The 26,669-nt window shown below is 39.8% G+C and overlaps 1 long non-coding RNA gene across 1 annotated transcript in view, besides 2 other annotated features; it reads left to right on the plus strand.

Moving 5' to 3' along the window:
• Nucleotides 3,693-4,892: an enhancer, noted in NCBI's record as "P300/CBP strongly-dependent group 1 enhancer chr12:19183693-19184892 (GRCh37/hg19 assembly coordinates)". NCBI's record gives its function as "activates an origin of replication core promoter dependent on BRD2, BRD4, P300/CBP, MED14 and CDK7 cofactors, with strong dependence on P300/CBP, by STARR-seq in HCT116 cells {active_cell/tissue: HCT116}" and the evidence as "EXISTENCE:reporter gene assay evidence [ECO:0000049][PMID:35650434]".
• LOC107984527 (uncharacterized) overlaps nt 9,763-26,669 on the plus strand; it is a 32,110-nt gene continuing 15,203 nt past the window's right edge. Inside the window, exon 1 of the long non-coding RNA XR_001749033.1 lies at nt 9,763-10,034. This is a non-coding gene — a long non-coding RNA (uncharacterized LOC107984527). The remainder of the gene's footprint in view (nt 10,035-26,669) is intronic.
• Nucleotides 9,769-10,063: a silencer, noted in NCBI's record as "tiled region #14790; HepG2 Repressive non-DNase unmatched - State 24:Quies". NCBI's record gives its function as "represses a minimal TATA promoter and a strong SV40 promoter by Sharpr-MPRA in HepG2 cells {active_cell/tissue: HepG2}" and the evidence as "EXISTENCE:reporter gene assay evidence [ECO:0000049][PMID:27701403]".

Raw genomic sequence — 26,669 nt, forward strand, 5'->3', positions numbered from 1 at the left:
AGGCTTCGTTTGCACAGCTGGTGCCTTAAGAACCGACTACCAAAGGACTGAAACTTTAAATTGAATTTGAAGAAAAGACAATTGACACCAAAAATCACTAATATCTGGGAAGTAAAAGAAGCAGCAAGAGACTTTGTGAAGTGTAAACTTCTCATGAGACTGAAGAAAACTCAGCCTGACTGTTGGAAATCGGAGTCTGAGAAAGAACATGAAGCAGAGCTCCGGAAGTCCCTATCCCACACAGCTGCTGCAGTGATGATCTGGACAGCAGGGAGAGATCCATTTCCCAGGGCTGTGGGGTGGAAAGGCATCAATTTCTTCAGAGCTCAGAAGCCGGAGATCAATTTGGTTCTCACTATGAAAGCCTGGTGTCGAGTGAGGAATAATTTCAAGAAAGAGCCTACCTGATGTGACTTCGTCTAACTTCTGGAGTCCACCCTACAATGAATCTCCATCATGGGGAGAAAGGTGGGATCTGAGAAAATCAGAAGAAGGTGGTAGTTTGTAGTCATTCTCCCCTTAAGCATATTTTTCTGACCTTTTATTTGATTTTATTTTATTATTTATTTATTTATTTATTTATTTGAGATGGAGTCTCGCTTTGTCACCCAGGCTGGAGTGCAGTGGCGTGATCTCGGCTCACTACAACCTCTGCCTCCCGGGTTCAAGTGATTCTCCTGCCTCAGCCTCCCGAGTAGCTGGGATTAAAGACACCCGCCACCAAGCCCAGCTAATTTTTGTATTTTTAGTAGAGACGGCTTTTCACCATGTTGGCCAGAGTGATCTTGAACTCCTGACCGCAGGTGATCCGCCGCCTCGGCCTTCCAAAGTGCTGGGACTACAGGTGTGAGCCACTGCGCCCGGCCTGGCCTTTTATTTTTTAAACAATATTTAAAGTCTCAAAAAGGAGAAGGTAACTAGTGTTTTACAAGTAAAGCCTCTTGGGAAAAGAAGCAATAAGCTGGCTTAGGCTATTTATTATTTATAAAGTATCAATTTCCAAAAGAGATTGAGGCATCCATACAATAGAGACTCTTAAAACATTAAAACAGTTAGAACATTAAATCAGGAGCAAGAGAACAAGATGGCAGGACCTAATGGGGGCACTCCTCCCTTGGGAGTGGCAAGCGGGAATAATTGTACTAGAAAATATAAAAGCAGTCTTCCTTTTTTGCTCTGCCAACTGTCATGTGCAGAACTGAAATTTAAATTCAACTGCAATGAATTCTGTTCGTATTTTGTCATTCATCTTCCAACTACAATAAAAAAGTGCTGAAGAAATTGCAGCTATAGCTCTCGTAGTCTGTTTCATAAATGTTTGTGGAATACCTCCTATGTACTAGGTTCCCTTGAAGGATCTCAGAGTTTAATGAGAAAGAGGGACATGAATAAATAATCCCAATGGAATATGATCAGTTTTGTTTGCATTTCTTTCTGTAAGTACTACAGTATAGGCTTTGAGCGGCTGGGGGGGAGAAAGGCCCTTAACTCAGGAGACAGAGGAAAAGGCATTAGCAACACTTCATGTAAGAGTGACATTTGGGCTGGGACTTAAAGGATGAAGATCAATTTTCCAGATGGAAAAGAAGGAGAAGAATATTCCCAAAAGAAACCATGCATGCAAAAGAACTGAAGGAGAAAGGCCACAGCATTTCAGAAAACAGTTGGGTTGATGATAAAGTTTTAAAGATAGCTTAGAACCTTGCAAGACTTTAGGGCAGGTGCTGTAGATCTTTTGAACAGGGAAGTGAAATTACCCTATTTGAGTTTTAGAAGACAACTGGGTGTTGCAATTTGAAGAATGAATGAGAATAAGGGTGAAATTAAGGTAAGGAAGGAGGCTGTACTAATTAGAGCTCTCAAGAGAAACAAAATTAATAGGGGTATGTGTGTATATATAAATGCTGTATATATGTATATATATGGGGGGAGAGAGATTTATTACAAAGAAATGGCTTGCAATTATGGAGTCTGGCAAGTCTAAAATCTGCAGAATGAGCTATCAGGCTGGAGACCCAGGACAGCCAAAGTTCCAGTTCCAATCTGAAGGCAATATATATATATATATATATGTGTGTGTGTGTGTGTATATATATTCTGATAAATATATATGCCTGATATATATTTTATATATATATTATATATATATATAATATATATACATCTCAGATTGCCTTCAGATTGGAACTGGAACATTAGCTCTCCTGGTCTCCAGCCTGATGTCATATATTTTATATCTATCTATCTATATCTATATCTATATCTATATAGATAGATAGATAGAGAGATATATATATATATATGACAGCTAAGGATCACTGGGTGTAACGAAAGCCTTGATATAAAAGTAGTGGCCAAAAAAGAAAAAGGAAAAGTGGATTACCTCTGCTTTCATAACACAAGAAGCAGAAGAAAGTGTCAAAACAAACAAACAAAAAAACCCTCTAGTATCTTCATAGAGAGAAGTTATCACATCAATGAAATAAAAACAGGATGCTTTAAAAAAAAAAGAGAGAGGAAACTTTTTGTTGTTATAAGCATTCTAATATTATTTGACCATTTAAATTATTCCTAGAATAGTTTCATAAGAATAAAATCAAATTAAAGAATAAATTTACTCCAACATAAAAGTTAAAATTCAGTAAATATTTCCAAATTTCTTCTGGCAAGGAACTTCTGCCTTTCTGTTTACCGAGTCTCAGGACAAAAGCCTTCTAATGGCTTTCTCCCCATCTCCACTGTCAGAATAGCAGTTCTCTGTCCCCATCAGGATACCTCAGAGATCCTGGACTTCATATTCAAAAGAACAGATGGGAAGCAGTCACTGTAGACCCTTCATCTTAATTGTCTCAACAGATTTTGGCAGTGTGTTGTTTTCTCTATGATCATTTCTACAGAAGCAAATTCTGTCAATCACCTAGATGTTTTTAGTATGCATAAGGTTGCCATGCCTTTGCCTGTGTCTTATTATCCACAAACATGAGGTCTTTTGATATCACACTTTCATCTATTCAATCATTCGTTCATCCAAACAATAATCCTAAATGAGCTCCTACTATGTACCAGATGCTTACTATTGCATTTTGTAAAATTATTTTTCTGCTATGCATGATTTCCCTACTTAGAGATCAGAGCAAAGAAATCCTGTGCAAATGTTCTGCCCAAAACTCTGGGAGGTGAAACCTCGCAGAGGCTCTCTGCACTTCTGACAGGAGGTCAGCAAGACAAAGGACTGTTTGGGATGCCAAGAACAGAGAGGACCTGAGGCAAAACCACCGGGCAGAATTGTGTGGAAGGCTTTCAAGTTTTCCTGTGCCTTTGCATGTCTACAACATATTTTGAAATCTTTCAGCATAACCAATGTAATATTATATAGATTTTGGTTTCAGTTGTAACCCAAGGTTCGGTTAGGTACCCAGATCACGAACTAAAATCTCAGGAGTAGTCAGCTGGCATTCCAATCAGAAAGCTCACACTTCAGAGACAGTCAATATGAACATACACTTTCTGCTATTCATGTCTCCATCAATATTAGAAGCTTTTCTACTTGGCATAATAAATGTTAAAAATGGGGTGTCATTGTGGAAATTAGTGAACTTCAAGATAACTTGTTCAATGAACAGAATGAGAAAATCCACCCAGATTTATAATCTGTCTCCTTAAGGATAACACCTGAAAACTTCACCCTTAAATGAACCTGTGTCCAATCATTGAGTCAGAAAATTCCTGCTTTCCTGATGCCAACTTATGGGCACAGGATTCTGCTGCCTCTGGCTATTGTTGCATTCAAGTAAATACTTCATGTAAACTTTTCATACAAAGAAGTAGTTGGAGCACCCAAAGAACAGAGAGCTAGGACTTCATTAATCTTACAGAACAGTTAGTATAAATATTTTGGGGTCTGCTCACTATTAAGTATTTTTTTCAGTAAGGTCTGTATTTGTGGCATAATTTTTGGAGAGTGACACTATTTCATGGTTGTTACTACTGTATACTAAAATAATCTAAGGCTGTGCAAAACCAAACTGGTTTAGGTTAACAACAGCCCCCATGGAAGGCACAGAATTAGTTGACGGAATGAAGACCTCTGAAGGAATTTTGTGGTCATGACAAGGGCGTGGTGCTCCATAAGGACCTTGAGTCATACAGCTGGGGATTAGTAAGAACATAAGTATTTCAATGGAAACTACTGGAAAGCAGGGACTAAGTCTGGAAACCACACAGGACAATCTCACAGATGACAGCGTGTACAACTACTGACCATGGCCCGGGTACCTCCTACTTCCCTGGGGCCATGAGGTTAGTTAAATTCAGTGAGGGAAAATGAAGTGAAGGACTGCCAGAAATTGACTAAAATTATGGTTACTTCCATTAGGAAGAATAGAGTCTCTAGAGAGATATCAAATTGGAATTTAAAAAACATTTTAATAATTTTCCTTCCTTACATATCTAAGTCTTGGGTTTTGAGGAATTCATACTCACTATATTCCATGCAAGGAAGAAAAATTCTGTCTCTCTTCATGTTTATCTAAAATACCTTTTATTTTAAGGCTTAACACTAACGGTTACATTTTCTCCTCCAGTAGCTCTTCAGAAGTGACTTCATGAGAATCTTTTTAGTGACCCAAAGTCTGGTCCAACAATCAAGAGAATATTAATGTCTTTTATATTAGTCCATTTTTACACTGCTTTAAAGAACTACCTGAGACTGGGTAATTTATAAAGAAAGGAGGTTTCATTGAATCACAGTTCTGCATGGCTGGGGAGGCCTCAGGAGATTTACAATCTTGGGGGAAGGCAAAGGGGAAGCAAGCACATCTTACATGGCTGCAGGAAGCAGTGGGGGGAACTGCCAAACACTTTTAAACCATCAGATCTCATGAGAACACACTCACTATCATGAGAACGGCATGGGAGAAACTGCCCCTATGATCCAATCACCTCCCACCAGGTCCCTTCCTCTATACCTGGGGATTACAGTTCAAGATGAGATTTGGGTGGGGACACAGAACCAAACCACATCATCCCACCCCTAGTGCCTCCAAAATCTCATGTCCTTCTCACATTTCAAAACACAATGATGCCTTCCCAACAGTCCCCCAGAGTCTTAACTCATTTCAGCATTAATCCAAAAGTGAAAGTCCAAAGTCTCATCGAGGCAAGGGAAGTCCCTTCCACCTATGAGCCTGTAAAATCAAAAGCAAGTTAGCCACTACAAAGATAAAATGGGGATATAGGCATTGGGTAAATGCTCCTATTCCAAATGGGAGAAATCAGCTAAAACCAAGGGGCTAGAGGCCCCATGAAAGTCAGGAACCCAACAGGGCAATCTTTATATCTTAAAGCTCCAAAATAATCTCCTTTTAACTCCATGTCTCACACTCAGGGCATATTGATGCAAGAGATGGGTTCCCAAGGCCTTGGGTAACTCTGTCCCTGTGGTTCTGCAGGGTACAGCCTCTGAGACTGTTTTCATGGGCTGGTGTTGAGTGCTTGTGGCTTTTCCAGGTGCACAGTGCTAGCTGTTAGTAGATCTCCCATTCTGGGGTCTGGAGGATGATGGCCCCTTTCTCACAGATCCACTAGGCAGTGCCCCAGTGGGGACTCTGTGTTGGGTCTCCAACCCCACATTTCCCCTCTGCGTTGCCCTAGTAGAGCTTCTCCATGAGGGCTCCACTCCTGAAACAGACTTCTGCCTGAACTTCCAGGCATTTCCGTACATCCTCTGAAATCTAGATGGAGGCTCCGAAAGCTCAACTCTTGTTTTCTGCATACCCACATACCCAACACCACCTGGAAGCCACCAAGGTTTGGGGTTTGCACACTCTGAAGCAATGACCCAACTGTACCTTGGCCCATTTTAACCACAGCTGGAACTGGAGCAACTGGGACACAGGCCGCCATGTCTCAAGGCCGTACAGAGCAGCAGGGCCCTGGGCCTGGCCCACAAAACCGTTTTTTCCTCCTAGACCACTGGGCTTGTGATGGGAGGGGCTGCCATGAAGATCTCTGAAATGCCCTGGAGACATTTTTCCCATTGTCTTGGCTGTTATCGTTCAGCTTCTCTTTACTTATGCAAATTTCTGCAGCTCGTTGCTTGAATTTCTCCCTAGAAAATGAGTTTTTCTTTTCTACCATATGATCAGGCTGCAAATTTTCCAAACTTTTATGCTCTGCTTCCCTTTTAAACATAAGTTCTAATTCCAGAACATCTCCTTGTGAACACATATGATTTAACGCTTTTAGGAACAGCCAGGTCACATCTTGAATCTCTGCTGTTTAGAAATTTATTCTACCAGATACCCTAAATCATCTCTCTCAAGTTCAAAGTTCCACAGATCTCTAACGCAGGGGCAAAATGCCACTAGTCTCTTTGATAAAGCATAGCAAAAGTAACCTTTGCTCCAGTTCCAATAAATTCCTCATCTCCATCTGATATGATTTGGCTCTTGGTCCTCACCCAAATCTCATCTTGAATTGTAATCTGCATGTGTCAAGGGAGAAACCTAATGGAATGTTATTGGATTGTGGGGGCAGTTTCCCTCATGCTGTTCTTGTGATAGTGAGTGAGTCTCACAAGATCTGATGGTTTTAAAAGTGGCAGTTTTTCTTCTGCTTGCACTTCACTTCTCTCACCTGCCACCATGTGAGACATGTCTGCTTTTGCTTCTCCCGTGATTGTAAGTTTCCTGAGGCCTCCCCAACCATGGGGAACTGTGAGTCAATTAAACCTCTTTTCTTTATAAATCACCCAGTCTTGGGTATTTCTTTATAGCAGTGCAAAAAATGGACTAATACAACATCTGAGACCACCTCAGCCTGGACTTCATTGTCCATATCACTATCAGAATTTTGGTCAAAACCATTCAACAAGTCTCTAGGAAGTTCCAAACTATCCTACATCTTCCTGTCATCTTCTGAGCCCTCCAAACTGTTCCAACCTCTGCTCATTACCCAGTTCCGAAGTCACTTCCACATTTTCAGATATCTTTATAGCAGTGCCCCACTTCTCTCAGTACCAATTTTCTGTATGAGTCCATTTTTACACTGCTATAAAGACCTACTTGAGACTGGGTAAATTATAAAGAAAAGAGGTTTAATTGACTCACACTTCCACATGGCTGAGGAGGCCTCCGGAAACTTACAATCATGGTGGAAGGCAAAGGGGAAGCAAGCACATCTTACATGGCAGCAGGGGGAAGGGGAAGCTGCCAAACACTTTAAACCATCAGATCTCATGAAAACTCACTTGCTATCATGAGAACAGCATGGGGAAAACCACCCCATGATCCAATCACCTCCCACCAGGTTCCTCCCTCAACACGTGGCGATTACAGTTCGAGATGAGATTTGGGTGGGGACACAAAGCCAAACTACATCATCTTCTAAAACATCTATTTCTTTTCAGAAAGGGTGTCTTTTTAAAATTGATACATAATAATTGTATTCAAATGTCTTCACTTCTGACAACAGACGAGTGGGATTTTCCAAGCAATTCTCCAACTCTCTGCAGACCCAACTGGTGTCCTACAATTTAGCTTCTGTCACAATCTACCTGGAGATCCACAGTTTTAAGGGCTCACTCCCACAAGACTGCCCCACACTACCACTTGATACTTCAGGTTATCACCTGTAATTTGACCAACTGGCTGTAAATCAGAGGTTCCCACGACCCCTTCCTCAGATTTGATTATTTGCTATGGCGGCTCACAGAACTCAGGAAAGCACTTTACTTACTGTTACCCATTTATTATAAAAAGGATCCAACTCAGGAAGCCAAATAGAAGAGATGCATAGGCTCAGGTATGTGGGAAGGGATGTGGAACTTCCATGCCCCCAATAGATGTGCCACCCTTTCAGCACTTTTATGTTGGAAGCTCCCCAGACCTTCTCCTTTTGAGGTTTAGGGGAGGATTCACTGGGCATCGTTAATTAAATCATTGGCCATTGCTTATTGAATCAATCTCCAGTTCTTCTCACCTCCCTTAGGTCAGGAGGTGGGGCTAAAAGTTTCAACCTTGTAATCACGTGGTTGGTTCACCCTGGCAACAAGCCCCCACTGGACACTTTCCAGGAGCCCCAGCCACCAATCATCTCATTAGCACACAAAAGACACCAACCACTTCTCAAATTCCAAGACTCATAGGAGCTGTGTGCCAGGAAACTACAAAGACCTAGTATATACTTCTTATTGTAAATCATAATATCACACTTAAAATCAGGGAGAAAAGAAAAACAGTATCTTAAGTGTGTAGGTATGTTTTGTGATAGGGAAGGACATGGTGGTGAGGAAAAAGTTATATTGAATCCATCCCTAGGAATTTTATTTCCTGAGAAAGCCTGATAAAATCAACTTGCATTCAGCAAATGCATAACTATAAGCCAGGCATTGTGTTAGGAAGACACTACTTTTATCAAGATGAATTAAAATATTTTCTGACATCAAGTAGGAAGACAGACAATACAATGTGCTAAGTGCTGTGATGGGGTTAAGTACAGAGCCAAAGTTGAGTGGTGGAGAGAGACCAGTTCTGATTGGGGAAGTCTGAAAAGACTTCCAGAAGGGATTTTAATCAAACTAAGTCCGAAATTGTCCAACAGAGTATGACCTTTCCAAGCAGCACTAACAGAATATGCCAAGTAGAAATGAATGAAAACACATGGAGTATGGGAGTACTGGAGAATTATGAGTGGGTGGATTATGTAACCCCTAGTGAGAGGTTATGTTGGAAGAATGAAGTGTGGTCAGATTATGAAGACTCATGGATGTTTGTCCAAAGAGACTGGCTTTTATGAGGCCAGCTATTTTTCATTCAATAGACTTTTAGGTTCCCAAAAGTGCCCTAATGGAAGCACAGGGTGGGTCAAAAGGTCAAGTTTCTGCACACCGCCCCCACCACTCCACCTCACTGCACTTCTTCTCTCTTATGTATCTCTTTTAGATTTTCAACTTGGAAGAAGAGCTTAGTTGTTATTTTTAAGTTTTAAAATCACTCATGTAAACAAGAGTCATAGAAATTTTTTAAGAAAATTAAATGACTGTACTTATATTTTAGAAAGCTAATTCTGGCTGCAAGGTGGGGAAAAGATTAGAGAAAGAAAACGTAAAAGGTAGAAAAAACATACAACTGTTAAAAATAGCCCATACAGGAAGGGCATGGTGGCTCATGCCTATAATCCCAGCGCTTTGGGAGGCAGAGGAGAGTGGATCACAAGGTCAGGAGTTCAAGACCAGCCTGGCCAATATGGTGAAACCCTATCTCTACTAAAAATACAAAAATGAGCTGGGCATGGTGGCACGCACCTGTAATCCTAGCTGCTTGGGAGGCTGAGGCAGGAGAATCACTTGAACCCGGGAGGTGGAGGTTGCAGCGAGCCAAGATTGTGCCCCTGCACTCCAGCCTGGGCAACAACGCGAAACTCTGTCTTAAAAAAAAAAATAGCCCAGACAAGGAATGACAAAGGGTCCAAATCAAGGTAGTGAAAGTAGGGATATGAACAGAAGTAGGAAGAGAGAACAGATTCAAGAGATATTTTAGAGTTTGAATTGATAGCTATTTGCAACTCCTACATCACATGCAGTAGTTTTTGACAGTGTTTGAGCAGAGTTGTCAGGAAACCCTGCACACATTTTCCTTTTCCATTTGTGGACTGGTACAATGTCAGCTGCTGCACTTCAACTCCAATATTACCACAGGGAGGTGAGATAAGGGCCTCTTATAACATTCCAAAGCTTCTAGGTTGATGAGAGTAACAGTTTGTTGACTGATGCGATTTTGTGGAAAGCTACTTTAAACTTAGCAGCTCATGATTGAACATGGAAAAAGCCACCAACACAGTGTTCATTTTGTTACCCAAACACCAGGGGTGAGGTCGTTGCTATGCCACACAGAAAGCCAATCAGTGAGAGGAGGATTGCCAGGAAAGAAGCCTTTTTATTCATGCGATGTCAGCCCAGGAAAATAGGAGATCAGTCTCAAATCTGTCTCCCCTACCAACTGAAATTGAGGGCTTTATGTATCAGGAGGAGGAATGTAAGTACGTGCTGGAAAACAGGAATTAGGAAGGGGAAAGGAGGCAATCCTGACTAATGGGAGGTCGGGCATCTCATTGTCTGGGTGTAGTGTTTTGGTACGTTTCAGTCCCTTGCCTGAGGGTTGGTTTCCTGAGGATGGAACTCAGATAAGACAAATGTAAGTTTCATGTTTTAAGACCTGGAGGACCAATTTCTATGTTTATTCAAAAAATCCAAAAATATCAGCTCTGTGGGAATTGGGCTGGTTTCAATTTGATTTATCCATTCCTGAAGACTGATGAGGTATTTTGTTGCCTCTTTTGTTCTCTCTCCTTCATTCTCTAAAAAACAATTTTAGTCCAACTCTAAGAAAAGAATTTGGGAAAAATAAATTTAGTAAATGAAGCAAGCCATCGATATGGTTTATTTTGTTGTTAAGCTACACTCTTTGTTGTAATGTCATGTGATAGAATGCTTGGCCAAGACTGATCCTTACAGTGGGCCAGCCTTGCAAATGTGCAGAAAGGATCCCATTGTGATTTAAGATGTGATAGTGAGATGCTCATCCCTTATTTCATGCACTCAATTATTCAGTAACTATTTTCTAAGCACCTACTTTGCAAAAGGTCTTTAATCGGTAGGCACTGAGTGTACAGTGGAATGGAACATCAAAGTGGTCTTAGTCTAGCAGAGCTTTCAGTCTTAGCAGGGGAGACAAACATTGAGCAACTAATTATACACTTAATTATTTGATCACTGTTGTGATAACTGCTTTGAAAATGAAAGAAATCTTACTTCACCCAGTCTCCACTTCCATAAGGAAGTGACTTTTGGCTTGAGAGCTGCAGGACAAGTTTCTTCTTCAGCAAATGAGTGGGGAAAAGAAATTCAGGCAGAGTAGACAGTGTAAAGCTGGAGCATGGGCACTAAACAGCTGGGAAAAGGCCACTATGGCTGAAGGGCAGAAATTAATAGGGAGAGTGGCCAGATGAATTAGGAAAGCTCAATCATACTGAGATTGGTAGGCCACGTTAAGGTTTGGTGTTAGCCTAATGTCCTAAGGAATACATTGACAGAATTTGAACAGGTTTGGGGTCAAATGATGAGGCACATTTTGAAGGACCTCTCTGACTTCTTGGTGAAAAATAGATCAGAATAATACAGAAGTGGCTTGGGAGAGACGAAACAAGTGGACTTATCGGAAACTTCTTCCAGTTTCCCAGTTGCAGGCCCTGACACCAACAGCTGAAGCTCCAGAGATGAATCTAGCCTGAGCAGGTTCTATATAGAACTAGGCTTGGCTCAGATGTACCAGGCGGCAGAGTGTGAAATCAATCTTCCTGCTCTAAGTTTGATGTCCTCTGCCTGGCATGTCCCAGGCCGCTAGACCACAGATTTGCCCACTGCAGCACTATCGTCCAGGGCCAAGTTCTGGCTACAGTTTCAGGGTTCCCTTTTGCCCTCCATTTACGACACAGGACTGGAGCCTTTTTCTGAAACCTGCCTTGATGCCTGCCCACATTCACAAGCCTCTAAATTCCACAGTCGTTCACTATAAGCCTGATTGGCCTCCCAGGAGAACAGTGTCTTCCCAAATAAAGCTCCTTTCCACTAGCTGCTGCACCTTCAGCTGTTGATTCCCTCACCAGTCTCCCCTCTGCCTCAGGTCCGAGTCCTTAACTGGACCCTCTTCTAGCCTCTCCAAAAATGCCTCTGAGCTGAGGCTGCTGGATTCATAAAAATGAGCTACAATAAATACCTCACTATGGTGAAGTATCTGTCTAGAAGAACTTCCCTTTAGCAAAAGAGAGCTTTCTTACTCTTTTGAGATCACAAGGTAAGATTTCTTTTTTAAAAATTCCACTGAAAGTACCATTCCAGTGCTCTTTAAGCAGTGATGCACGCAGTTATCAAAGAATCAGGGTTGTGTTTTATGACAAGTGTCGTAAGCTTTGCAAGCTCAAAGTTTTTTCTCAAAAAATGTTTAATTGTTTAGGTTTGTTTGCTTTTAACCAACCTGTGTGTCAAACTCCCATGTTTTTCTGATTTACTGCAATAAAAGTGATATACTTCGGTGCAGAGAGATATTGGGATGTCAAAAGTGTTATGAGTCAAGGAGCTACTGGCATTTAATCTGTAGCAGGTATGCTGTTAGATTTAATAAGCATTTCAGGGTAGTCAGGGTCTTTTTTTTCTTTCTCTATAAACAGGCCTTGTAAAATTTAAATCAAAATATGAAATATAATCCTACAAATAATTCTCCACCCTTACTTTTTCTCTACTCCTGAAAGAGTTAGAAGAGAAAAGATTTCCCTGAGTTTACTGTTCTATATTGCTTTTTCTTTTGTTTCCCTTTTTGCTTTTCCAGTTCAGGCAAGATAGGACCCTCCGTAAAAATTAACTAGCATCTCATAGGACAGAAATCTGAAAAACATGAATAGGTTTCAAGATAATATCTTTTAAAACTCTGTGTTTGTGCTTCCTTTTTAAAGACCTTTTTCTAAAAATAGAATTCTCAGGGTGACCAGAACAAATGCAGATTGGATGAAAAATGTTTCTGCCAAATTGTGAGACTGATGTGAATTGAAGTAGCTGAAATGTAACGCCGTGTTATTGTAATCTGAAGTGTTAAAGCGTGCCCTTCATCTAAGAAATGCAAAATATTTTCAAAACAAGCATCACATGACACTCAGCAGAACAGGTCATATTATTACAGCTCTCCAGAGGAGGTAACTTGTAGAGCAGAGACTTTGGGATGTTTTGCTAAAATACTTTCTTTCTTAATGCAGCTCAGAATTATCAATTTTTTGAAATTGAATTTTACATTTTATTCTGTTCGCTTGGTGGCTGTCAAAAATGCTAAACAATCGTATTTTTTTTAAGTTCCAAAGGATAGTAAAAATATGTGTAAGAGAGAATGATGAAGTTTCAGGAGTTTGTATTTGGTAGACTTTTATGCTGTTTTGGAGTTCTCAACAACACTTGAGTACTTTAGCACTTTGTACTCTGTTCTCAATTTGGGGATTTTTCTTTATCTTTTCTCTCAAGTGCTCTTCTAGCATGTATTTCATAATCTGTGGATTAGTTTAATTTTTCTGCAATGATGAAAACATCAAAGAGCTTTAGACACTTGAGCTGCCGGTTGGAAATTGCAACTCCCAGCTGTACCTAAGCAGAAATAAATAAGCCCCAAAAGGAGAGGTAGGTAGTAGCCTCAAAGAGATCCAGTCGCAAAGCCTCTGTGGGAATTATGGAAGAACAATGTTTCTGCTCACTAGATATATGAGCGTCGTGGCAGGGAGACCAAAATCTGAGGCTAGAGAAAAACAGGAGCAGTACCAGAGGCCTTGGCTTCCCATGGCACATTTGTCAGGAGAGAATTAATTGTTCTTTTCAAATAATTTCAAGAGAGCTTCCCACCTAATGATATGCCCTCCATTCAGTTGATCTTTTGTCTTCTATTCTTTTTATTTCCTTTGTTTATTTTACATAGATGTTTAAGCCTCTGGCTCTTATAATTTCTCAAACTAAAGTCAGTGATTTTTTTTTTTTTTGCTTTTGTGTATTCAATGGGTTATTCCTAGGCATCTGATAAGCTCTAGCTATGTATTTGCCTTTTGTATCCTACAGGCATGGTGTTATCTAGCCATATTTTTAAAACCAATACTGAGAGTTATCTATTTCTATAATGTAGGATTCTCCCAACGTTCACTTATTCTGTTTGAGTCCTCGATCCTGCTCCATCTCCCTGTTTTTCTGAGCTGGCTTAAAGCTCCGACTTCTCTTCTGGAGGATGCTGCCTACCTTTGGCAAAGGAAATTTCAGAAGACCCATCATGGAAGGATGGGGTGGTTAAAAGTTCTTCCTTTTTGTTATAGTTCAATTTCTGTTCATTTATAATTCAAACATACACAACATAAATGGAAGCTGAACTCACACACAAAACGGATAGAATTATCTGGTAAATATTGGAGAACAAAGCTGAGGAAGGGCAGTGTGTGTGTGTGTGTGTGTGTGTGTGTGTGTGCATGTGTGTGTGTGTTTAATTATCTTGATAATTAACAGAAAAACCATTTCTTTGTCTGAGTACTTTGGAAAAGGTGGCTCACTATACCCAGCTTTCACAGGACAGAAACATTTTTAATTTATCTAACCACAGGGAGTCAAGTTTTATGGGGCCTGAAGTGGTCCATCTTGAAGAGGTACCCTTTAAGAAAAACAACAAAAATTTACATATCAAAAATTAGAAACAAAAATGAATATATGTTTGGAAACAGAAAATAAATTGCAACAAAATACAATTAAAAAAACAATACATACATTAAGCATCACTTAAGACAGAAAAATAGCATAATATTTTATTAATTGCCCAATAAACCTCTCTAATAGATGCGTTTTCCCTATTTTTTGGCTTCATACACTGGAAAACCATACAAAATTAAGTGTAACACAAGAGGAATTCAAATACAGTTTTAAATTATTGCCATATTATATTGAGCTACCTAAATGTATAATCAAACTACTCCAATACTACATATATTGACTAAGTTGATGGGTGTTTGTAAGAATTATGTCACTTGAGCACTTATTTTCAGTGTATTGCTGCGTTGTTAGCAGTTTTGTGTGCTGTTTCATCTAGAGCCACTCATCTTTATTTTATATTATTTTTTATTTTATTGTTGAGACAGGGTCTCTCGAGGTTGCCCAGGCTAGCAACTACTGGGCTGAAGTGATCCTCCAGCCTCAGCCTCCTGAGTAACTGGAATGAGAGGCTTAAGCCACTGCACCTGGCTAATAACTGCTCAACTTTATAAGGACACAATATGTCAGACACTGTAAGTGATCTGACATATTGGGAAGTACTCTGCAGTATGCCAAGAGACATGATCGCTATTTGTAAAACTCCTAGAGTTTATAAAGTATGAACACAGGAATTAGATAAATTTTATCTTGCATGATTCTCATCCAACAACAGAAAAAATATAGTGTATTTACCTCTGTACAATCTGCATTATTAAGTATATTCCTGAGAGGAAAGAATAGCCATTTTGCTTAAGTAATGATAAGGGAATTCTCTGCTTCTAATTCCACATTTCTGAAGATTAGAAGAATTTTCCACAGACTAGTTCTCGCTTCATCTTTTTAAATCATTTCTTCTTTTCTACTGTGCGCATACCTCAGGGCTGGGTGCTTTGGGACACACTCATATCACAACATGATTTTTGGTCTTGCCCCTATGTGTCACAATGCCAGGTGAACAGCAGAAGTTTTCTAGAAGTGATTCTTTCGAAGAAATGCCTCATTACACACAGAAGTGACTGCCAACTCCATCCCCCAAATGCCAGACACCAGGGTAAGCATGAGGAGGGAAAGTCTGAGCGAAGCAGCAATCTTAACCAATTGCAGCTCAAAGTTTGCAAATTTTACAAAATTAGATGGTTGTGTGAACATCTTGCTAGGGTGCTTCCCAGGACTTTGGAATGAGCCATGGAAAGAAGGGCCATGAATCTTTAAGCTCCCATAGCTTCTCAGTCAAATTCTTCTGCACTTAACCTAACTTGATCTTTTAAAATGGAACGGTTGCTTTGATTTATCATGGATTAAATCATACATATTAATCATATAAATTAAAGGCATTTATTCTGTCTTAACATCTATAAAGGCCTGGCATGGTGGCTCACACCTGTAATCACAGCATTTTGGGCAGCCAAGGCGGGCAGATCACTTGAGGTCAGGAGTTCAAGACCAGCCTGGCCAACAGAGTGAAACCCCATCTCTACTAAAAATACAAAAAAATTAGCCTGGAGTGGTGGTGGGTGCCTGTAATCCCAGCTACTCAGGAGGCTGAGGCAGGAGAATCGCTTGGACCCAGGAGGCGGAGATTGCAGTGAGCCGAAATTGTGCCATTGCACTCTAGTCCAGGTAACAAGGGAGAAACTCCACCTAAAAAAAAAGCAAAAACAAAAACAAAATCTATAAGCATATTTGCAAACATATTGGAAAACATGGAAAAAACAATGAAAAGGCATTTCAGTCATATAGCAAAATAGCTGATGTGTGTTATGTCAATAGCTTTCTTCTCACTTTGTTCTGTCTGCTTCCTATACTTAGCAATAAGAAAATACCGTAATTATTTCACTTACCTGCCCCTCTGTTCTTAAGTATCTCTTTTTCCTCTAATTTTGTTATGTAAAAGGTATGGTTTAGAATGTGCCAATCAGACCTCAACTTTCCATTGTGGAGTATGCAAGGCCACAGAGATTTCGTACAACTACGATGGGACAAATAAATACAAATTTGTGAACAAAACTAAAGTATCTGTGAATCAGTTCAAATATCTACAAATAAGAAGTCATCTATTTTCTGAAACTACATACTAACTTAAACTTCACAGTTTTTTCTTTTTTTATTATTATTATTATTATACTTTAAGTTTTAAGGTACATGTGCACAATGTGCAGGTTTGTTACATATGTATACATGTGCCATGCTGGTGTGCTGCACCCATTAACTCGTCATTTAGCATTAGGTATATCTCCTAATGCTATCCCTCCCCCTTCCCTCCACCCCACAACAGTCCCCCGTGTGTGATGTTCCCCTTCCTGTGTCCACGTGTTCTCATTGTTCAATTCCCACCTATGAGTGAGAACATGCGGTGTTTGGTTTTTCGTCCTTGCGATAGTTTACTGAGAATGATGATTTCCAATTTCATCCATGTCCTTACAAAGGACGTGAACTCATCATTTTTTGTGGCTGCATAGTATTCCATGGTGTATATGTGCCACATTTTCTTAATCCAGTCTATCATTGTTGGACATTTGGATTGGTTCCAAGTCTTTGCTATTGTGAATAGTGCCACAATAAACATATGAAACTTCACAGTTTTTTCTACTCCTCATTTATTAATTCAACAAATATTTGCTGTACATGGACCCTACAGCATGGTGGACCAGATAGCCATGATTCAAGTAATTAAACAGGCCAGGCACAGTGGCTCATGCCTGTAATCCCAGCACTTTGGGAGGCTGAGGCAGGAGGATCGCTTGAGGTCAGGAGTTCGAGACCAGCCATGGCCAACATGATGAAGCCCCATCTACCCCATCTCTACAAAAAATACAAAAATTAGCCGGGCATGGTGGCGCATGCCTGTAATCCCAGCTACTCAGGAGGCTGAGGCAGGAGAGTTGCTTGAACCTGGGAGGCAGAGGTTGCAGTGAGCCAAGATCTCACCACTGCACTCCAGCCTGGGTAACAGAGCAAGACTCTGTCTCAAAAAAAAAAAAAAAAGTAATCAAACAAATAAGCATTATAATGGCAAACTGTGATCTGTGCTACGCAGGAAACATTGTGAGGATAAAATAACAGGGAGATCTAATCTACTGTATTTTTCACTGGGCAAGAAGAGACAAGGACAGAGAAGGTTTCCTTGAGAAAATGGCATTTAATTTGGGCCTAAAGTGTGAATTGCTGTTAACACAGTTAATAAGAGGAGGAAACAGGTATTGCAGGTAGAGGGTGTAGTATGTGAGAAGGTCATAAGAAAGCAAGGAGTAGCATCATTCGAAGAACTAAAAGAACGTTTGTATGCACAATGAGCAAGGAGGGGCACAGCACAGGACAAAGCTAGAAATCAGGCAGGTCACATCATACAGACACTTCCAGGATTTGGGACAAGTGATAACAGCGTTTTAAACAAAGGGGAGCACAGTCAGATTTAAACCTTAAAAAAACATACTCCTGAGATAGAAAGAAGATGGAAAACTTGGGAGAAGTGATACTTCCCTATCATTTTTATCACTTGGACAATTACCATGTTCATGTTTTAATATTTATAAAATAACAACGAATACATTTTATTCCTAAGAGGGAGTGCAAACTAAAACAAATGAACCTTGTTATATTTCAAAAGAATAACATAAACACGCAGGAGGGCGTAGGGGCAGGAAAGGGCAATTCAAGTACAGGCGTACTTCACTTTATTGTGCTTCCCTTTATTGCACTTCCAGATACTGTGTTCTTTACAAACAGAAGGTTTGTGGCAACCCTGACTCAAGCAAGTCTATCCAGCACCATTTTCCCAACAACATGTACTCACTTTATGTTCCTGTAGCACACTTCAGTAACTCCTGCAATATTTCAGAATTCTTCAGTGTTATTATATCTGTGTTGATCTGTGATCAGTAACCTTTGATGTAACTACTGTAGTGGTTTTGGGGCACCATGAGCTATGCCCATATAATACAGTGAACTTAATCAATAAATGTCGTGTGTGTTTTCACTGCTCCACTGATCAGCCGTTCCCTGTCTTTCTCCATCTCCTCAGGCCTCCCTACTCCCTGAGACAGGACAATATTGAAGCTAGGGCAAGTAATAACCTTGCTATGGCCTCCAAGTGCTCAAATGAAAGGAAGAGTCCCATGTCTCTCTCTTTAAATCAAAAGCTAGAAATGGTTAAGCTTAGTGAGGAAGGCCTGTCAAAAGCTGAGACAGGTCAAATGCTTGGCCTCTTGTGCAAACAGCTAGCCAAGCTGGGAATGCAAAGGAAAAATTCTTGAAGAAAATTAAAAGTACTACTCCAGTGAACACATGAATGATAAGAAAACAAAGCAGCCTTATTGAGATAGAGAAAGTTTTAGTGGTTTGGAGAGAAGATCAAATCAGCCGAAACATTCCCTTAAGCTAAAGCCTAATCCAGGGCCAGTCCCCGACTCTCTTCAATCCCAGGAAGGCTGAGAGAAGTGAGGCAGCTGCAGAAGGAAAGTTTGAAGCTAGCAGATGTTGGCTTAAGAGTTTAAAAAAAAGAAGCCATCTTCATAACATAGTAGTACAATGTAAACCAGAAAGTGCTGATGGAGAAACTACAGCAAGTTATCCAGAAGATCTGGCTAAGATCATTGATGAAGGGGGCTACACTCAACAACAGATTTTTCAGTGTAGATGAAACAGCCTTCTGTTGGAAGAAGATACCATCTAGGACTTTCATAGATAGAGGGATGTCAATGCCTGGCTTCAAAGCTTCAAAAGACAGGCTGACTCTTGTTAGGAGATAAAGCAGCTGATGACTTTAAGTTGCAGCCAATGTTCATTTATCATTCTGGAAATCCTTAAGAATTACTCTTATAAATGGAACAACAAAGTCTGGATGACAGCACATCTGTGTACAGCATGGTTTACTGAATATTTAAGTCCACTGTTGAGACCTACTGCTCAGGAAGAGTCTTCTTTCAAAATATTACTGCTCATTGACAATACACCTGGTTACCCAAGAGCTCTCATGGAGACATACATGAAGATTAATGTTTTCATGCTGGCTCACCCAACATCCATTCTGCAGTTCATGGATCAAGAATTCATTGTGACTTCCAAGTTTTTTAATTCAAGAAATATATGTCGTGAGAAAAAGCTCAATATCACTGATCATTAGAGGAATGAAAATCAAAACCACAATGAGATACCATCTCACACCAGTCAGAATGGCTATTACTAACAAACCAAAAAAAAAAAAAATAATAAAAACACAGATGCTGGCGAGGTTGTGGAGAAATAGGAATGCATTTATACTGTTCACTGTTGATGGGAGTGTAAATTAGTTCAACCATTGTGGAAGACAGTATGGCAATTTCTCAAAAACCTGGAGGCAGAAATACCATTTGACCCAGCAATCCTGTTACTGAATATATACCCAAAATAATATAAATTATTCTATTATAAAGGCACATGCATGTCTTTATTCATTGCAGCACTATTCACAATAGCAAAGACATGAATCAACCTAAACACCCATCAATGATAGAGTGGATAAAGGAAATGTGGTACATATACACCATGGAGTCCCTATGCAGCCATACAAAGGAACGAGGTCATGTCCTTTGAAGGAACATGGATGGAGCTGGAAGCCATTATCCTTAACAAACTAGCGCAGGAACAGAAAATCAAATACCTTAGGTTCTCACTTGTAAGTAGGAGCTGAATGATGAGAACACATGGACACATGGGGGAAACAACACATACTGGGACCTGTCTGAGGGTAGCAAGAGAAGGGAGAGCATCAGGAAGAATAGCTACTGGATGCTGGGCTTAATACCTAGGTAATGGGATAATTTGTGCAGCAAACCACCATGGCACAGGTTTACCTATGTAACAAACCTGCACATCCTGCACATGTACCCCTGAACTTAAAATAAAAGTTGGAAATTTTTTTAAAAAAGAAAGAAATATGTGTCATAAGCCCATAGCTGCCATAGTTAGTGATTCCTCTAATGGATGTGAACAAAGTAAATTGAAAGCATTTTGGAAATGATTCATCATTCTAGGATGCCATTAACAACATTCGTGATGCAAGGAACAAAGTCAAAAAAATCAACATTAAAAGGAGTTTAGAAGAAGTTTATTACAGTCCTCATAGATGAGTTCGAGGTATTCAAGACAAGTGGAGGAAGTAACTACAGATGTGGTGGAAATAGCAAGAGAACTAGAATTAGAAGTGGAGCCTGAGATGTGACTGTATTATTGCAATTTCATGATAAAACTTGAATGGATGAGGAGTTGCTTCTTATGGATGAGCAAAGAAAGGGATTTCTAGAGATGAATCTACTCCTGGTGAAGATATGTGAACATTATTGAAATGACAATAAAAGGTTTAGAAGATTGCATGAACTTAGCTGATAAAGCAGCAGCAGAGTATTTTCCTTTCATGAAAAAAAAACAGTCAATCAGTGTGGCAAACTTCATTGTTGTCCTGTTTTAAGATATTGCCAAAGCCATTCCAATCTTCAGCAACCACCACCCTGATCAGTCAGCAGCTATCAACGTTGAGGCAAGACCCTCATCCAACAAAAAGACTATGACTTGCTGAAGGTTCGGATGACTGCCAGCATTTTTTAGCAATAAAGCTTTTTTGTTTTTTTGTTTGTTTGGTTTTTGTTTTCTGAGACGGAGTCTTGCTGTGTCACCAAGGCTGCAGTGCAGTAGCACAATCGGCTCACTGCAAGCTCCGCCTCCCAGCTCCAGCGATTCTCCTGCCTCGGCCTCCCAAGTAGCTGGGATTACAAGTGCATGCCACCACAGCTAGTTAATTTTTGTATTTTTAATAGAAATGGGGTTTCACCATATTGGCCAGGCTGGTCTCAAACTCCTGACCTCAAGTGATCCACCCACCTCGGCCTCCCAAAGTATTGGGATTACAGGTATGAGCCACCGTGCTCGACCAATAAAGTGTTTTTTAATGAAAATACGTACATTGGGTTTTTTTGGACACAATGTTATTACACATTTAATAGACTACAGTATAGTGTACACGTAACTTTTATATGCACTGGGAAAACAAAAACTTTATAAGACTCACTGTATTGCGATATTCATTTTATTGTGGTGGTTCTGGAACCAAACATGCAATATCTCCGAGATCTACTTACAACTTTTTAACACGGCATTTTGACACTATACTTTCATTCTAAAGAAAATGAGCTGTAGTTAGATATTTAACATATGACATTTAGTGTATATATTTTAAAAGAGGGAGAGAGGTAAAGAAATAGATTAAGGGTATAGGTGTGCATATGTGTGCATACATACATATTTCTCAGCACTGTATTCTGAGAAATCCTAGAAGTAATCACCTCCCAAAAGCAATGAAAACGTGCCCAGATTTTGACTTCTAACTACAATTTTCATTGAAAAGAACCAGTGCTCTTTGGAGAAATGACTAATTCCAGCCTGGGACCCAGAAAGTATAAGATGAACCATATCTTATTATGGCAGAAAGTAAGGAATTGGTTCAAAAATGATAAGAATGTCAAAAAAAAACCACAGGAGCCAATTTGAAAATGTCTTATGTGTCCAAATCTGGAAAAAATTCAGCAGGAAAATAATTATATTAAATGAAAGCCCATTAAAAAAAATACAAATGCATGAATTCATACTAATATAGAAAATACAGGAAGAGCCTGGGCAACACAGTGAGACTCTGTATCTACAAAATAAAAAAATTTTTTTTTTAATTACTCGGGTGTAGTAGTGCATGCCTGTGGTCCCAGCTACTTGGGAGGCTGAGGTGAGAGTGTTGCTTGAACTCAGGAAGTCAAGGCTGCAGTGAGTCATGTTTGTGCCACTGCACTCCAGCCCAGGTGACAGAGTAAGATTCTGTCTCAAAAAAAAAAAAAAGAAAGAAAGAAAAGAAAAAAAGCTTTTATGTCACAAATCTGATAATCAACTTTGGCAAAAGTCGTCAACGATACTTAAACTAGTGGGTGAATCAGAGATCTACATAGTCCTACAGTATACTATCTCCCCAGAAAATACTTGCTAATTAAAAGGAGAAAAATAGAAACTTTGCAATGCAGAACACTTTCACTGAGTAATCAAAGTTAACATCACCAGTATTAAGACAAATCAAATTCGTGTGTCTCATGATACAATGCACTGAGAAGTAAGCAATATCACTTTTGTATTACAGTATTCCAGCCAAAAATGCATAACCCAAATCTAATCATAAGGAAACATCATGAAACCCAAACTGAGAAGCATTCTACAAAATAACTGGCCTGTATTCTTTTAAAATGTCAAGGACATGAGCAACTACTGCAGATTGAAGAATTAGTCCAGATAAAATGAGACTAAAGAAATATGACAACTAAGTACAGCATGTGATCCTAGACTGGGTACTGAACCCAGATTTTTTTCTTCATTTTATTTTTAAGTTTTTTCTTTTTTAAAATTTCTATTTTAGGTATGAGGGTACATGTGAAGGTTTGTTACATAGATAAACACATGTCACGGAGGTTTGTTGTACATATGATTACATCACTCAGGTATTAAGCTCAGTACCCAATTTTTTCTTTTTTAATTTTTATTTCAAAATTTAAAACGACAGCTCCTCAAAAGTCACTGTTTAAATATTTTTTTAGGCCGGGCTTGGTGACGCACGCCTGTAATCCCAACACTCTGGGGGGCTGAGGCAGGCAGATTGCCTGAGGTCAGGAGTTCGTGACCAGCCTGACCAACATGGTGAAACCCCGTCTCTACTAAAAATACAAAAATTAGCTAGGCGTGGTGGCACACACCTGTAATCCCAGCTACTCAGGAGGCTGAGGCAGGACAATCATTTGAACCCGGGAGGTGGAGGTTGCAGTGAGCCAAGACTGTGCCATTGCACTCCAGCCTGGGCGACAAGAGTGAGACTTCATCTCAAGAAATAATACCAATAATAAATAAAATAAAAATAAATAATTTTTTAAAAAGCAAAAGACTGAGAGAAAGAAAATGTTTGTAAATTACACATCTAATAAGGATGTGTATCCAGATTATATAAAGAACTCTTAAAAAGTAACAATAAGAAAACAAACAACCCAATTTTTCTTAATGGGCAAAAGATTTGAACAGCATTTCACCAAAGATGTATGATGACAAATAAGCACGTGGAATAACACTCCACATCGTTAGTCATTAGAGAAATGAAAATTAAAGCCACAATGAGATACCACTACATACCTATTAGAACTGACAAAATAAAATAGACTGTAAGAAGTGATAGTAAGGATGTGGCGCTGCTAGAACTCTCACACACTGTTAGTGAGAATATAAACTGGATCAATCACTTTGGAAACCATTTGGCAATTTCTTAAAATCTTAAATATACACTTATCATGTGATCCAGCCATTCTACTCCAGAGTGTTTACCCAAGAGAAGCATAAGCCTAAGTTCTTACAAAGACTTGTCTATAAATGTTCACAGTAATTTCATTTGTAACAGCCAACCACTTTCCACTACCTCAACTGATGTGACATCTAGTTCAAGTCACATCATCTCTAGCTTTAAGTATTATACTATCTTCCTACTTCTGTACTGTCCCCAGCCCCAACAGTGTAATCTCAAAATAGCAGCCAGAAGATTTATTTTCTTTTTTTTCTTTTTTTTTATTATTATACTTTAAGTTCTGAGGTACATGTGCAGAACGTGCAGGTTTGTTACATAGGTATACACGTGCCATGGTGGTTTGCTGCACCCATCAGCCTATCATCTACATTAGATATTTCTTCTAATGCTATCCCTCCCCTAGCCCCCCACCCCCCAACAGGCCCCCACGTGTGATGTTCCCCTCCCTGTGTCCATGTGATCTCATTGTTCAACTCCCACTTATGAGTGAGAACATGCGCTGTTTGTTTTTCTGTTCTTGTGTTAGTTTGCTGAGAATGATGGTTTCCAGCTTCATCCATGTCCCTGGAAAGCACATGAACTCATCGTTCTTATAGCTGCATAGTATTCCATGGTGTATATGTGCCAGAAGATTTTCTAAAGCATCAAGTTCTACATGAGTACTTACATGATCTGATCTGCCTTGCTTCGCCCACCCACCTATCTACCGACATCATCCCCTATCACTCTCCTTTACATTCCTCATGCTCAGCCACAGCATCTCACTGCTTTTCCTCAAATACACCAAACACAATCTTTCCCTACGGATTTTGCACTTGCTCTTTCCTCTGCCTGCACTCTCTTTGCCCACATATCCACATAGATGGCTCTGTCACTTCCTTCAGATCTCTGCTCAGATGCCATCTTCTCATTAGGGGTTCTTTTGAAGAATTCTATGTAAAATAGCTAACTTTTCACCACTACCATTGCTCCTTTTGCCCCTTCTTGATTTATTTCTCTGTAGTATTCCGCACCAACTAACATGCTATCTATTTACTTGTTTCTTTTTTTTTTTTTTTTTGAGACAGGGTTTCACTCTCGTTGCCCAGGCTGGAGTGCAATGGCACAATCTCAGCTCACTGCAACCTCCGCCTCCCGCCTCCCAGGTTCAAGCAATTCTCCTGCCTCAGCCTCCCAAGTAGCTGGGATTACAGGCATGCAGCACCACTCCCGGCTAATTTTGTATTTTTAGTAGAGACAGGGTTTCTCCATGTTGGTCAGGCTGGTCTTGAACTCCCAACCTTAGGTGATCCGCCCACCTGTGCTTCCCAAAGTGCTGGGATTACAGGCATGAGCCACCGCGTCCGGCTCTTACTTGTTTCTTTATTGTTTTCTCTTACTATTACTGCAATATAGGCACCATAAGAGTAAAAACTTTGCTTTGTCCACTGCTGTATCTCCCAGCAACTAAAGCAGTACCTGGCATATGAACATTTGATAAATTCTTTTTGATTAAATGCATTAATAAGTGCATTACCTTTAATCTTTTGTTTGACAAATTGATAAATGTTTTCTGACATATTACAAGTAATTTTAAGCGAAAACCCTTTACATTTATTTTGTCTCATATTTGTATGTGCTGTGTTTTAACATGAGTGGTCATTGTCCATTACTTACTTCCCTCCCTCATCCCTCCTCCTATCAGTCCATTCATTTCTAAATGCGACGATGCTCCCTGATCCATATCCTTGTGCTATTCCAAAGTGTTATGCCATTTTCTCTACTTCATTTCTCAAGATTCGTGCTACCTGGGGAGGGAAAGAAGTGTCAGACGCACAGTGCTCAGAATGTACAGTAGGCATTTTTCTAGTAGTTTGGGAAGGAACCAACACTTAAAACATAGAAGAAAGGAGGAAAGAAAAGAACAATGGCTCTTCCTGGCAGCACTATTTTCTTAACCCTGATTCTCTGGTTACTCAGATAGCACATGGCATTTTATACCCGCTGCTTTTATAATGTCTTAGATTATCATGATGATTGAGAGGCATAATTTGATCACCTGCTGTCAATGGTCATGGATGCATATTAGTTATCACAATGTATAACTGAATTAATAGAGCAGAAATTTGTCCCAAATAGCTGCACTGTTGTTTCATCCCCAGTCTCTGATTGCATGCTACTGGTCATTGCTGGTACTTAACTAGCACAATATAAGCTTCTTGCTGTGATGCCATTTTCTCACCCAGTCTGGCTGAGGTAACCTAGTTGCTTACAGAAAGAAAACTGACTCAGGAGTTGCTAACATGCTTTGCTTCTTAAAGAATCGTTATAATATGATCTATGTGAGGGATGTGAGTTGAGTTGAAAACAACCAAAGAACCAAAAATAGGAATAAATCCTGAGAAGGGGGATTTGAAAGCTTTTAGGGACATAAAAGAAGCAAATGTAAGAAATGACAGAGGGAAGATTTTGCTGCGCTTCCAACTGACAGTAGAGATAGAGGAAAGGAAAAGAGGAATACTAAATGGCAAAAGAGCTCACCGTCAGATAGTTATCTCCTCTGCATGGAATGAACAAGGTTGAAATTAAACAGATAGTATTTACAGAAATGACTTAACTGGTAGATATCTTTTAGATCAAACCTCACTACTGGTGAAGATGTAACACCAACTCATTTTCAGGTTTCCCCAACCTTGAGTAACCTCACCATATACCCCTCTGCTATGCTTCCTGACCTAAATACTGCAATTGTCACTGCTTCCTGAAGTGGGTCATAACACTGCATATTCCAAGACTACAAAATGAGGTGTTAGGACCCAATAGATGATTGCCACAGGTCTTTTTAATCCTAAAAAAATATTTTACACAAAACACTTTACACTACCCTTGTACTCACAGATCACCCTGCAAGATATCAGACCCCTATCCAGAGTACCAGAAGGAAAGCTCACTACTTCTTCCCTTTGATTCTCTTCCCTCTTCCTACACAGACTTAATGAAGACATCTGCCTGACAATATTC

The sequence above is a fragment of the Homo sapiens genome, chromosome 12 (genome assembly GCF_000001405.40).
Source record: "Homo sapiens chromosome 12, GRCh38.p14 Primary Assembly".
NCBI classification, from domain to species: Eukaryota; Metazoa; Chordata; class Mammalia; order Primates; family Hominidae; genus Homo; species Homo sapiens.